At 45.1% G+C, this 15,707-nt stretch overlaps 1 annotated feature.

The window, feature by feature from the left end:
- Nucleotides 15,161-15,341: a silencer, noted in NCBI's record as "fragment chr16:22988092-22988272 (GRCh37/hg19 assembly coordinates)". NCBI's record gives its function as "represses an EF-1alpha promoter that drives an FKBP-Casp9 reporter gene in an ReSE screen in K562 erythroleukemia cells {active_cell/tissue: K562}" and the evidence as "EXISTENCE:reporter gene assay evidence [ECO:0000049][PMID:32094911]".

Consider the following 15,707-nt stretch of genomic DNA (forward strand, 5'->3'; position numbering starts at 1 on the left):
CAGGGGCATGAGAGACTGCTAATGAGGGCCACACTTCTGAGGCTGAGGGCCATGACCATTAGCTCCACCCTGAGAGCTCTGTGCCTAAAAGAATCCTAACAAGTGGATCCTCTCTAAACCTCCTGTGTTAGTCTATTTAGTGTTGCTATAAAGGAATGCCTGAGGCTGGGCGGTTTATAAAGAAAAGAGGTTTATTTGGCTCATGATTCTGGTGGCTGGAAAGTTCAAGACTGGACATCTGCATCTGGTGAGGGCCTCAAGCTGTTTCCACTCATGGCAGAAGGTGAAGGAGAGCTGGCTGTGCAAAGATCATATGATGAAAACAAGATGCTAGAAAGAGAGCAAGGGGAGGTACCAGGCTTCCTTTAACAACCAGCTTTTGCAGGAACTAATTTAGTGAGAACTCACTCATCCCCAAGGTAGGACATCAATCTATTCAGGAGGCATCTGCCCCCATGACACAAACACTTCCCATTAGGCCCCACCTCCAACACTGGGAATAAAATTGCAGCATGAGGTATGGAAGGGATAAATATTCAAATTATAGCATTGTGCCCCTGGACCCCCAAAACTCACATCCTCCTCACATGCAAGATACAATCATTCCATCCCAACAATCCCAAAAGTCATAAATCATTTCAGCATCAACTCAAGAGTCCAAAGTCTCATCTGAGACTTAAGGTAAGCTCCTTCCAGCTGTGATCTTGTAAGGCCAAAAACAAGTTATTCACTTCCAAGTTACAATGGTTGTACAGGCATTGGGCAAATATTCTCATCCCAAAAGGGAGAAATCAGCCAAAAGAAAGGGGTAACAGGCCCAACGCAAATCTAAAACCCAGCAGGGCAGACATTAAATCTTAGAGCTCCAAAGTAATCGCCTTGACTCCATGCCCTGCATCCTCAGCATACCAATACAAGGGGTGGGCTCCCAAGGCTTCAGGCAGCCCCACCCTGATGGCTTTGCTAGGCATAGCCTACATGACTACTTTCATGGATCAAAGTCTAAGCCAGAGGCTTTTCCCAGGTGAGATGAGAAGTGGCCGGTGGCTCTACTATTTTGGGGTCCTGATGGTGGCCCCATCCCTGCAGCTCTGGTGTACAGTCCGGGTGCCCAGGCAGGAACCTGCCTCAGTAGTGGAGTCATCACTAAGAGTTCCCACCTAGGCAATGCCTAGTAGAGCTGCATAAGCCTTGCAATGCCTCGTAGAGCTGCATAACAGATTCCACATAAGCCTTGGTGGCTTCCACCTCTGAAATCTAGGTGGAAGCCACCAAAGCTTATGGCTTGTGCCCTCCAGAGCAGTGGCTCGAGCAGTACCTGGGCTGCTTGGAGCCAAGGCTGAAGAAGAAATGGCCTGGATGCAGGGAGCAACATTCCAAGGTGGCACAGGGCAGTAGTACCCCAGGCCTGTCCCCTGAAAGCATCCTGTCCTCTTAGTCCTCTGGGCCTGTGATAAGAGGGGGAAGCCTCAAAGTTTTCTGAAATGCCTTCAGGACCTTTTCCTCATTGTCTTGGCTATTAGCACCTGGCTCTTTTTTAGTCATGCAAATTTTTTTAGCAACTTGTACTTCCCACCAAACCCTTGAATTTCTCTCCTGAAAATGCTTTCCTTTTCTACCACATGGCCAGGCTGTGAACTTTCCAAATTTGTATGCTCTGCTTCCATTTTAATTATAAAGTCTGCCTTTAGCTCATTCATTTGCTGCTGTAATTCACTGTAAGCTGTTAAAGTAATCATGTCACTCCTTGAGTGCTTGGCTGCTTGGAAATTTCTTCCACCAGGTATGCTTGGTCATCACTCTTAAGCTCAGCCTTCCACAAAGTCTAAGGTCATGGACACAGTGCAGCCAAGTTCTTTGCTACAGTGTAACATGGGTAACCTTTGCTCTAGTTCTCAATAAGTTCTTCATTTCCATGTGCGACCTCTCTGGCATTGCCCATAATTTGCTTTGCTTTGCTTTGCTTTGCTTTTTTTTCTTTCTTTTTTGACAGAGTCTCGCTCTGTCACCCAGGCTGGAGTGCAGTGGTGCAATCTCGGCTCACTGCAAGCTCCGCCTCCTGGGTTCAAGTGATTCTCTTGCCTCAGCCTCCCTAGTAGTTGGGATTACAGGCACCCACCACCAAGCCTGGCTAATTTTTGTATTTTTAGTAGAGGCAGGATTTCACCATGTTGGCCAGGCTTGTCACAAACTTCTGACCTCAAATGATCCACCTACCTCGGCCTCCCAAAGTGCTAGGATTACAGGTATGAGCCACCATGCCCAGCTGTATACTGTCTATATTTCTATTAGCATTTTGGTCACAACCACTTAACCAGTCTCTAGGACGTTCCAAACTTTCCCTTGTCTTCTTCTGAGCCCTCTAAACTCTTCCAGGCTCTCCCCATTACCCAGTTTGAAAGGTACTTCCACAATTTCATGTGTGTTCCCCACTCTTCTTCCCCACTGAGAAGACTCATTTATTTTTTTGAGATGGAGTCTCGCTGTCACCCAGGCTGGAGTGCAGTGGCACGATCTCAGCTCACTGTGGGCTCTGCCCCCCCCCGGGTTCATGCTATTCTCCTGCCTCAGCCTCCCAAGTAGCTGGGACTACAGGCGCCTGCCACCTCACCCGGCTAATTTTTTGTATTTTTAGTAGAGACGGGGTTTCACCATGTTAGCCAGGATGGTCTCGATCTCCTGACCTCTTGATCTGCCTGCCTCGGCCTCCCAAAGTGCTGGGACTACAGGCACGAGCCACTGCGCCCGGCCGAAGACTCAGTTTTCTGTCTTATTCCGTCTAGTGTTGCTATAAAGGAATACCTGAGGCTTAGTAGTTTATAAGGAAAAGAGGTTTCTTTGGCTCACAATTCTAATGGCTGTAAAGTTCAAAACTGGACATCTGTGTATGCTGAGGCTGCATCCATTCATGGTGGAAGGTGAAGGGGAGCTGGCTATGCAGAGATCACATGGCAAGAGAGGAAGCAAGAGAGGGAAGGATCACCAAGTTCCATTTAATAACCAGTATTTGTGGGAACTAATAGAGTGAGAACTCATTCAACCTAAGAGAGGGTATTAATCTATTCATGAGAGATCTGCTTATAAATATGCTCTGCTTCCCTCCATGACCCAAATGCCTCCCATTACACCCCACCTCTAACACTAGGCATAAAATTGCAACATTTGAGGTTTGGAGGGAACAAATATCCAAACCATAATACTTCCCAAGGGCTGATACCAAGGGTGAACTACAAGGCAAACTGGTTTAATTTGATGTCAGAATCTTCTCTGACTTCTGACCTGCCCTCTCTAGTAATAAATCTGCTTCTTTCAGAAATGCCACATTTAAGGGAACTCTGAAGCAAGCCTCCCTCCTTTTCATCTTTCTTTCCCTCTCCTGCTCAGCTCCACTTCTCTTCCTCCATTATTATCACAGGTAGTGTAATTTTTAAAATCAGCAGTGACTTCTGAAAGCCATCTCACCTCCACTCACCAATTCTCTCGGGCTGCAGCATTGCCTTGAGCTAATGTGGCTTCATTTCTAATGTTTGCTATCAGTACGGCATGCAGGCACACAATTAAATCTAAAAACACAGTTGATTAGAATTCCTGACAGATTGCCTCCTCCAGAAGTAAGAATTTCAGTCCACAAATTAGAGGTGCAGTAAATCGAGCCTTCTGGATGGTTCTATAGCTGATCCTTATTGGTATCCCAAGCCCCATTTGCTTTGAGTGGTGAAAACACGATCTCAGCTGCTCAGGGAGGACCCCTACTTGTTCCCCGGGTGGGAGGGGCAAAGGAACCAAGTGCCAGAGGGTGAACTGGTCCCTTATCACTGCCTGCTGCCCACGCTGGCATGCCCCAAGCTACCCTGCTCTCTTGCCTTGGCCATCGTCCATCATCCATGCATAGTCCTTGCTGAGATCTGCTCATCCCCACAGCAAAGTCACACTGGGTCCAGTCAACCAGGTATTTCCAAACCCTTCTCTCCAAATAGCAAACAGTCACATGCTTCTCTGCTGTACCATCCCTCCTCTGGAGCACTAAAACCCACTAACTTGATGGACAGGAAAAGCAATGACATATGGGGATCCTTGGCTAATATCTAAAATGATTGCTCCCCTCCAAGTGTTACAAAGGGAAAATGGAAAATGGTTGAGAGTCAGTCAAGCCATCTGATAAGGAAGACCCCTATCACTTGGGAAGTGTCTGTAACACAGGTATGACAATTTTGGACACAGCTGCTGCTCCTGAAAGGAACATGATAGGGTGAATCAGTAGAGAAGATATTACCTGTGGACATTAGCACCAGGGAGGGAGCTTCATCTGGACTCAGGGCCAGCAGTGGCTTTCTTCATCCCAAAATTCTACAGAAACATAAAGCATACCTATGAGGAGGAGTAAATAATTCCACAGAGGGAATTAAGCAGCAAGACTTTTTTTTCTCACCTAAGGCTGTAGTTGCATGTGTGATTATGTGTCACCCAGGTAACAGTTGAGTCCACCATGCAGTTGAGTCCACCATGTACCTGCCCATCCCCACTCCTGGATTGCAATTTGCTTTTGGAATTAATTATTTGTTTGTCAATACCTACAAATTATGGCAGACCTTGTGCAAACCTCAGAGGCAGCTAGGGCTTCTTGGGCTCCTGTAAATCTATAGCCTGACCTGGAAACTTGAAGGCAGTTCATGCCACCAGGCAGCTCTGTCATTCTTGGCCATCTTACAAAATGCAAGCAGCTTGGAGCATTTATTCTCTGGAACTTTCTCATCCCCACAGTATCCTGAGCTTCTTCCTCATCAACTCTTCCAAATTCAAGCAAAAAAAGAAGTCCATGGCATCTGGTCGTATCTCCCTCCAGCCTCATCACTGACATCCAAAACCTCCTCGACACTCCCCAGCAGCTTGGGTAATTTCAGTGTCTATGGAGAGGACCTGTCCAACAAGAGGCTCCCTGTTCTTTGATGCTGCAACTTTCCCCATTTCAACCAAAGCCATGCCTAGAACTTCTTGGCATCTCTTATAAGTGTTCCATGCCATAAATGCTCAATTCCCCAGCTGCAATATCTTACCCTCCCCACTGCTGCCTCGTGCGTCAATGACATTGAAGCCTTTAGGGTCTTGTCCTTCTCTTTTTCTCAGACTGTGAACTGCTAAGCTTCACATTCTTCCCTAACCAGCCTAGACCCCACAACTCCCCATTTCAACTACTTGCTCGCTACCCACACTCTCAATCCCCTTGTCCCTCTGTCACCAACTGCCTATACCCAGAATTTGTTCAGGCTGCTAAACACCTCTGCAGAAACTCCTATGGCCAATCAGTTCACTGTCACTACAAATACATGATCTCCAGCATCAGCCTCACTCTTGAGCCTATCTATCTAGGGATCATTTAAAGAAGGAAATCAAGCATAAGTATGTTTTGGTTTACTTGTCAAGCTCAATTAAACCTTTTAGCTTCCCTGAAATTTTGATGCTTGTACTTAGGAGAACCTGAGGCAAAGGTAAGATCAACCTTTGACTCTGACCGAAGTAGTAGTAAGGTCCTTTCTTTAACAGATTCTGCAGGTTACAGCACTGCAGCCATTGTTCCATTTAAGAGACCACAATCCTTGCCCCAGGGACAGTTTCAGAGGCTTCTGAAATCAATTCCTGACTATGCTGCAGTGGAGATTGCATTGGAGATTGGTGATAGCATTTCTCACAGACCCCCTCATTGATCACTGTGTCCTTGCACTGTGACCTATGGAAGCAAAGGGTTGTTCATGCATGGAGAAATCAGCATTCAGGGCAGGAGCAGCCCACATGTCCAGAGGTGTTCTAATCTCTACAGTGAGGAGGGGCTAGTCTCTTTGACAACAGATCTCCCTATCTTTAGAAGCTAAGAGCAAATCAACATCTTTGCTCATGAACAAAATTTACTAGCCTGATCCATGGAAGTGGTGCATGAGGCACTCATAAAGAGTCAGCCTTTTCCTAGTAGGATGAGCACGTATAACCCTTTTTATGAAATGCATACAGCTCATTGCATTATAATTCCTTAAACAATGAGACAGCTGTGCTATCTAGATCTAATTTAGCTCTAGCTGTCAGGGCATGAATTAATCCAGCCCTTGGCCCACATGGCTGCCTTGATAAATGCCTGAACTATGGCCTCACCTTGGTGGCCTGTGTGGCCTGAGTGATGGGGCTCACTTGGCTTGTCTGCTTCTAGAACTCACACTGTGATGTGGTCACTCACCCATCTCCCTGTCAGCAAATCCCAGGCACAGGAAATGGGAAATGAATAGCATGGGAGAGCTCAATCTGGTGCAGTTAATGGGAATTATACTAATTGATAACCCAGACCAGAGTTCCAGCCATACTCCTATTTTCCATTTGGAACTAAATGAGATAACAAAATATAAAGGATTTAAAACAGGGCCTGGGACATAGCAAATTCTCAGCAATTGCTAGTTGGGCAATAAAATTAGACAGTGTAGTGTGGTGGCTCAAAGCATGGACTCTGGAGCTAGATTCTTTTGCTTAAAATCCAGCTCTATGGCTTGTAAACTGTATGACTTTGGTCTAGTTACTTAGTGTCTTGTGGCTCAGTTTCTCTTCCTTGAAATGGGAATAATAATAGTTACCAACCCATTAGCTTGTTGTGGACAGCACTTAGCACATAGAAAGCACTTGATAAGTGATAGCTACTTTTATTAACTAACTGATAGAAATGAAGGGCCTTTTGGAGACTGTCTCATTGTCTTCCATTTTTTTTTCCCTATTATTTTATCCCCGCCCACCTTGCAATACCCCAACCCAGCATCAACGTACCCTCTGCTGTCTCTGCTGGGGCACTGGGGAAACATTTTCATACCTCTTTAGCTTGGCCTCTGTGATGGATTAGAAATGAATACAAATTCTTTGAAACATCTCCCTTTGGAAGGTAGAGCTTAATGCCCTGGCCTATAAATCTGGAATGATCTTAATGACTTGCTTAGCCAATAGAATGTGGCAAAAGTGATGTTATGAGACTTTCAGGACTAGGTCAAAAGCAGCCTTTCAGCTTCCGCTTGGATCTTGCAGAAGGCTTGCTCTTGGGATGGACTTTCTCAGAAACCAGCCTCTAGGCTGCGAGAAGCCCAAGCCACATGAAGAAGCCATGCACAGGCAGCCACAGAACCAGAGCCAAATTCCCAAGTGTCACTCAGCATCAACTGCCAGACATACAAGTGAGCCATTTTTTATATCTGGCCCAGTCGAGCCTTCACATGACAGCAACCCAGCTGCCACCTACCTACAACTGCACAAGAGACCCTAAGTAAAAACCACCTGGCTGAGCCAAATCAACCCACAGAAACTTGACAGATCATACTAAATAGATGTATCAGCCATTATGTTTTTGGATGGTTCATTACAGCAGAAATAAATAACCAGAACAGTGTCCAACCTGAAAGAGGTTTTCAGTACCCCTGGATGTCCTCCCACCTGTCTTTGCACCATTCCTTCCTCCTCATCTGAACCTTCACCCCTCGCCACCTGCCCCTCCCTTTGCAGCAGTGCATCTCACGGTACAGATTAGAGTTTAGCCTGCAGAAAAGGCAGGGAGAGGAGGATTGCTTAGAATGCCCATGGGGCATTAAGGGTTGCAAATCTCTCAGAAATCCAACAGCAGGAATCACTCCAGCCAAGTGGATGAGGCTGGGAAATGGCAGGTGAACAGAATTCAAGGAAGTTCGAAGTATTTCTCTTCCCCTGCTGTCATCCACCATACATTCCAAAAATACTTGCCAAGTGCCCATTCAGGTTTGCTCTCAACTCAACCCTCCAATATGTGCCTCTCTTGGCTCTTCACATCTTCTGATGCTTCCCACCAGTGTCCACATCATCTACACTTTATCTTTAGTTTACATTATAAATCCTGTTGCTCCACAACTGCCCCTTGTTCATGACACACACTTTCTCCCTTGCAGGGGCCCTATTCAATGTGATGACCTCTCAAAATGCAATTTGGCCACTTCAGCTTCAGCTTAATGTCCCAGGCCAAATTCCTGAAAGCAAGAACTGATGGGCCACCCCTTGGGCCAAGTGTCTATCTCTGGTCCGATCAGCATTCAGAAAAACACACGTGGTTGTGGGGTGTTTCCTAATAGGAAGGGCGGACAGAGTGACAAGGCAGGTGCTTGGAAAGCATAATGACTCAGTGATTCTTGGCACAACCAACTTCCCATCTCAGGTTTTTTTTGTTTCCTCCTGTGTAGAATGAAATTGTTCCATCAAGTGGGTGGAAGGAGGGATTGCACCTGGTAGATGTTCCAGAATCTAAAAGTAGTTGAAGCCTGTAAAGTTTGGGAAAGAATACCTGCTTTATTTTTCAATCCTCAAGCAACCCTACCCAGTAGCAACTGGTATTATCTTCATTTTACAGTTGGGGAAACTGAGGTGTGGCAAGATTAAGTGGCACATTCAACTCACACAGCCAGTAAGTGACTCAGCTGGGACCCAGACACAAATCTGCTTGCCATCAAAGCCTGTGTTCTTATTCATTCCCTGTACACCCTTTATCTATGCCACAGTCTGTGTGCCCAGGAGGAAAAAAATGATATAAAATGAAAAGGGTTGAGAAATACTAGAACAGTCTGTAATATTTCTTTCAGCACTCCATCTTCCTCTCTTATGCTGTAATATTTTGTTCTGTTAAGCATTTCAGGACACCAGCGGCCTGGTAAGTAATAATGAGCTGGATGTAAACCAAAGGCCTCAAGGAGAGATGACTGCTCACAATGACATCTCCCCCCATGGGACAGTTTCACGATATCACATAACACAAGGGTGGGGAGATGCCTCCATCCCTTTCTATTAATACCATTCAGTGGAAATTTTAAAGAAACAGGACTTCATCAGCTGCGTGGGTGGAAAACTGGCCAAAGGACTTAGTCTCTGTAACCCTGAGCGCCCTCCAAGGCTGTGCATTCAGAGCATGTCAGGCCAATGAGCACCCCCATTAGCTGAGCAGCCCCTCTAATTAGCATAGCCCCTGAGGAAGGAGGGCAGAGGCCTGGGTCAATGCAGAGAGGGTCCTGCCCTCCCTGTGGATCATGGTCTGGAGACCAGGTTTCACAGGGTCTCCAATGTGCATTTGAATGTCTTGCTCTGTGCTGTCACTCCCTGGCTTGAATACAGATTAACCCTGCTGAAAGACAGCAGCTGCTGCAGGGAGGGGGCTGACTGGAGCCTAATGTCTGCCAGAAGATGGAGAATTCCTCCACCCAGGGGCTCTCAGCTGGGGCTCCCTGAAACTAGAACACACTTAAGATATCAGTAACAGGGGATGGCACCCAAAACGAGGGAGGAGCGCATGCTTATGACACTTAGCATTCAATAATTTCCAGAAAAACTTTGTAGAGGTCTTTACATTTACCAATTTTGTTCAAGCAGTTTTTGTTTTAATTACACATGGCATAGGTGGTGGAAATCATCATCTTTCATGATAGCTGTGCTCATGTATAGCAGTTACTATATCCCAGGCACCATTCTGAAAATTCTTAAAATATTAACTCATTTACTGTGTACATGAATGCTGTAAATTACATAATCCATTTTTGTCATTATTTCACAGGTGAGGAAACTAAGACACAGGCAGGTTAAAGAACTTTTCTTTCAGGCTAAACAATTAAATGATGAGGCTTGGATTTAAACCTAAACAAGGGTGCATTGCGGTTTTATCAGTTAGCTTCTGCTATGTAACAAACATCCCAAAACTTAAGGGTTTAAAATGGCATGTTTATTATTCTTAATGATTATGTAAGTGACATGGTTCTTTTGGTCTGGGTCATCTCAGCTGATCTCTTTGGTCAGCTGGCAGCTCTACCAGGGCTGGATGGTCTAGGACGGCCTCATCCATGTGTTTGGTGGGTTGGCTTCAGGTTGGCTAGGGTGCTGGGAATGACTTGGCTGTGTGTCCCTCATCACCCAACAGGCTGTCCTGGATTTATTCACATACGGGTGTCACAGGGTCCTAAGATGAACAAGAGAGGGAAGATTCTCAATAAGCAAGTGCTTTTAGAGCCTCTGCTTGTGTCATATTTGCCAATGGTCCATGGGGCAAAGCAAGTTACCAGGCCAGCCCTGAGTCAGTGTGGGAGGGGAATACCCAAGGAATAAATAGTGTCTATTTTTACGATCTCCACAATAGTCTGAAATCTGAACCATTCATTTGTCTGCCTCATAGGCTTCTAATAGTCTTAACCCAATTTTGGTTCTCAGCGGAGCCCAGAGCAGGAATAATTGAGAGAAAAATTTCAACTATTTTCCGAAAGGGGTCACATACTCCTCACCCATGCCCAAGTCATTCGTGCCTTTCTTCCATTGCCCCCACCTAATTGTCATCCCCGCCACCACCACCACCATTGTGCGGAAACAAAATCTGATTAAGTGCTCATGGATGGAAAAGAAAATGGATTGTGATTCAGGGAATTTGAATTTAGTTACTCGAAACTAGCTGTGGGACCTCGGGCAGGTCACCTCGATTACTCTGACCCTCAATGATTTTTACTTTTTCAATGTAATAGCCCCAATTTTTCTATAAACATGAATTCAGTTCCCACTGTGTACTAGGCATTGCACTGAACAACACAGATACCATTGTGAAAACAGACACAGTCCTTGACTTTATGAAGCATATAGCATAATGGGATAAACAGATGTTTATCAAATAATCTCCATAATGGCATATAATTACAGACTGAGATAAGTGGTCTGAAGGACAAGAGCCCAATTCTATGAGAAGTTACTACAAAGGAGTCTGGTGTAGACCATGAGAGAGGAGCATGAAGGAAAGTCCCCGTCAAGTGAAGGACAGTTGAGATGAAATTAACTGGGAGGACCAAGGCAGATGACATTGAACCCAGAGTTATTGGGAGAAAATTCTCCATAGATCTCTTGTATTTCTGCATGTTTCGAAAGCAGAGGGCCTGTCTGCCTTTGTCTTGGGCTATATTTTCAAGGATATTTGGAAAACAACCTTGAAAGATAGAGATGATATCTTCCTCTACAGTGATGGGTAGGCATGCTCACTGCCCAGTGTAGAAGATTCAGTTTCCAGCTGGGTATGGTGGCTCATGCCTGTAATCCCAGAGCTTTGGGAGGCCAAGGTGGGAGGATTGCCTGAGGCCAGGAGTTCAAGACCAGCCAGGGAAACATAATGAGACCCCGTCTCTAACAAAACAAATTTTTTTCCAATCAACTGGGCATGTACCTGTAGTCCTAGCTACTCATGAAGCAGAGGCAGGAGAATTGCTTGAGTCCAGGAGTTTGAGGTTACAATGAGCTATGATTACATCTACTGCACTCTAGCCTGGGCAACAGGGCAAGACCCTGTCTCTAAAAAAAAAAAAAAAGAAAAAAGAAAAAAAAAGAAAAAGATTCAGGTTCCCTTTTCACATCACACTTTTGGAACTGGGGCTTAGAGAACCAACACAAAAATGATGATATTCTGGATTCTGCTATTGCTATGAGTCATAAACTATCCTTTGTCTCTGACCCAGGTGTCTCATGTCTTTTGCAGCATCCTTGAAGTTATGGCCAACTAACAGGTTAGCTTGCAAGGAAGCTAAAACTCAGATCCTTCACAGTTCTTAATATTTTCAGGTTCCCTGAAAAAAGTGACATACAAACTGGAGCTTAAAGGATGAATAAAGCAGGAGGACAGAGGGAAGGAAAGGAATTTTAGGCAGAGAATATATGCAAAGACTTGGAGGTGATGAAAAGCAAGGACACACCAAACAAAATTTGCTCAGTCTAGCAGGACTACAGAACCTGGTGATGAAATGGAAAGAGATGAAGCCAGAGGGGTGGGAAGGAGTGGGAAGATGGTGTTTAGGTATGTTAAGCAGGGAGACTTTATCCTGAAGGCAAGTGTAAACCACTGAAGGCTATTTGGGGCAGACTGGACTCAAAAGACATTGAGGGAAATTTTGAATGCCCTCTACCACCTTAGCCTCCAGAACATTTTCTACCTCAATACTGCCCATGAAATAGCCTTGGTTGCAACTTAGGTTGGCATAGCAACTGATGATGTGGTTGTTTTCACCACAGCTTTATTTTTATTATCTCTATATTGTCAAGCTGGCCCTAAGTGTCTGGACAATCACAGAGCACTGGATGTGGGGAAGAGAGCTAGAAAGCCAGCCTCCCTCTGGCTGAAGAGTGAACAGCAAAAAGAGGTAATTTCTTTTACAAGACTGAGACCACTAACCAGTCCTCTGTGGCCTGACTAGTGACTACTTGTTTAAGCCAGTCAGGCCAGGCAAAATAACCTCTTCCCTGCAACTTATGCAATACATAGTGAGAGATATTACACTTGGGGCTTCAGAAAGAACTAATTTCTCTTATTTGAGTGTATGTGGGATATACAGTATATTTGAGTGTAGAGTCAGACCACTTGGGTTTAAATCCTGGCTTTATGACTTCAGGTAAATGAATTAATCGCGCTGTGCCTCAGTGTCCCTACCTGAGAAATGGGACCTAGTTCAACAGGCTGCCATGAAGATTACACATTAAGTGTTCAGAACACTGTGTGGCACCTTATATGCATTCAAGAAATATTGACTATCATTATTAGTGTTTATTTGAAATATATCTCCTCACAACCTCTATCGTTCAAAAACTTCAAATATTTACATCATTCCCAATAGAGTAGGTATCATGCAGCAAATTAAACACCTGTAGCTACTGCATCATTTTCAAAGAAACTCCCTCTTAGAGTCCGTGGGAATCACTAAGCTTTGCTATTCAAAACCTGCCAAAATACCATTGAATGGCCCTACTTCAACACAATTTGTTGATGGCTCCCAAGTACTTACAAAGTTTTCTTCCTGAGGGAGACCTGGGGCTTGTAGATTATGGGGCTCATCCACAATTGCTGGTGCAACCCAGAGTCTTTAAACTGGGGAAGATCCACAGAACATGAAAAGCAATAAACTATTGTTGTTTTAACCCACTGTTTCAAAGTGGTTAGTCAGGAAGACACAACTGATAGAGGGAACAGACAGATTCCTCGCGACGCCTCCAGAGATTCTGACTCATGAAGTCTGGGGTAGGGCCTGGGTAGCTACTGTTAACTTATCTCCCCAGGTGATTCTAATTTACTTGGTTTCCATCAGGGTTCCCCCCAACCCTTCCTGATGATAAGAATCACCTGGAGATTCCTAGACCCTCACCCAGGCCTTCTGAACCAGAAAGTCCAGTGGGGAGCTCTGGGAATTGAGAGACTGAATATACAGGTGGACAAAGGCTAGACCATAATAAAAATTGAATTCTGACCCATTCTCTGTAGCAAACTCTCCAGGAAGCCAAACAACAACTCCTGTAGCCATCGGCTCAGACGAACCAGGACTTAATCAATAACTGACAGTTTTCCTAGTTCTTTTTATTTATTATTATTTTTTGTAAAGATGGGAGTCTTACTATGTTGCCCATTCTGGCCTCAAACTCCTGGGCTCAAGCGATCCTCCCACCTCAGCCTCCCAAAGTGTTGAGAACTCAAGCTCGAGCCACTGCACCTGGCCCAATTTCCTTAATTCTTGGCCTTGCTTCCAATTTAAGACCAACCAGAGAAAGTCAAACATGCCCCCTAACAAATCACATAGGATTTCCTGCCCCTAGTTAACTTGCCTCTAGCTTCCTCTGGCCAGCAGCCTCCACTCAGGGCACACCTGAAGTCTCCCCTGCTTCCCGCCTCTACAGCCTCCCCACTCCTCTGCCTACCTTTGAGCCTCTACCAAACAAAAGTGAGGATGGCTGACTCCCTTGCTGGAGCAAGCCCCAAATAAATATCCTTTGCTTGTTCTCATTTAGGTGGTCTTTTAAAAATTACAACTGAATTTATATATTTGATAAAAACAAGTGATTCTCTTATCATATGGAAAATTTGGAAAACACTCTCCCAGACCCTTGCTGCTCAAAATGTGATTCCCAGAACAACAGCAGCAGCATTGAAATGTAGAATCTCAGTCCCCTCCCCAGACTTACTGATTTTTAACAAGAACCCCCAGGTGATCCTCCAGCACACCAAAGTGTAAAAAGCATTAACCAGGAGCATTGATCAAGTCAGTGGGTCTCAACCCTGGGTGCACATTAGAATCCTCTGGGCCTGATTAATTGGTCCTGGGTAGGACTTACACATCAGTGGTCGTAAAAGCTCTCCGGTTGATTCTTATGTGCAGCCGGTGCTGAGAATCATAGATGTAGGACAAGGGTTCCCACACTTTGGGCTATGTCAGAATCATCTGGAGAACTCACCAAGTACACAGAGGTCCTGACTTGATAAAAGAGGATGCGCCTGGGCCTTGTTTATCTTACCAAGTTCCCAGGTGATTCTGAAACTGACCAAAGTATGAAAACTGATCTAGGAGAAGTGCTCTAAGGGAAAGAATCCCATGGTGACCTCCTTGGAACTCCAAGGAGGGTGAGACGGTTCTTGTTTCTTCCCAATATCTTCTCCTTCCTCAATTCGACTTGGCCAGCACCATGGCTCATAAAGTTTATGGAATGAAAGAACTCAGAACTGGAGGGAACTGAAGGCATCTTCAAGTACAGAAAACAGGGATTTGTCAGCCAAATTCAGCTCATGACTGTGCATTTTTTTTAATTAGATAGTTTTATGGTTTTTAAGGTTTAAATCCATTGCCAACACTTTTTTTTTTTTTGGAGACAGAGTCTCACTCTGTCGCCCAGGCTGTAGTGCAGTGGCACGATCTCGGCTCACTGCAATTTATGCCTCCCGGGTTCAAGCGATTCTCCTGCCTCAGTATCCCGAGTAGTTGAGACTATAGGTGCATGCCACCACACCCGGCTTATTTTTTATATTAGTAGAGATGGGGTTTCACCATGTCAGCCAGGATGGTTTCAATCTCCTGACCTCATGATCCTCCTGCCTCAGCCTCCCAAAGTGCTGGGATTACAGGCATGAGCCACCACGCCCGGCCACCAACATTTTTTAAAAGGAGATTGAATTTTCAGATTCTTCTGGAAGATCAAAGACCTAGCAATAGTAGACTACATTCCTACATGACTGCAATTGGCCAGAACAGCCCCTTAAAATGCAGCATGTGCTCACCAGTTTGCCACCGTCCCTGCCTGATCCACATCACTCATTTTTGTTACCCGCTTGGCCCTGCGAGCATCTAATTTGGAGTCTTTCTTTATATAGAGAGAGTCCAACCTCGCCTTTTGTGGAAGAAAAAACCGAGCCCTATACTCCAGTGGAAGCTGTTTGTCCAACGTCCCTCACTTATGGCCAGAGCTGAGACGGGTCAAAATTCTGACTGCTTTTTGCTTGTAGGGGGTTGGGGATTCTGTTGGGTTAGTGTCTCCCTTCCTGAGATCCCAGCCAGAGGCCAAAGACCTAGAGATCCTCAGTTCCCACTTAGAATCCAGGGCAAAGCTCTCTGAAGCACTTTGCTCTTGGCTTTTGGGCTGTCACCTACTAAGACACACCTATGCAGCAATTTACTTAGCCTCTCTACGTGTCAACAAACTCATCTACACAATGAGAGTAACAACAGTGCCTGATCTATAGGGTTGTTTTGAGGGTTAAATTACACTGTGTTTGTAAACCATTATTCTGGCACTTGAGACATAGGAAGGGCTCCATAAGTGAACGTTAAATAACATTAATGATTTTTTTTCAACATATGTGCTCATCTGAGAGCACCACCACTGTCCAGCTTTAAAATGGTCTT

This window comes from Homo sapiens, chromosome 16, assembly GCF_000001405.40.
Source record: "Homo sapiens chromosome 16, GRCh38.p14 Primary Assembly".
In the NCBI taxonomy this organism is placed as follows: domain Eukaryota; kingdom Metazoa; phylum Chordata; class Mammalia; order Primates; family Hominidae; genus Homo; species Homo sapiens.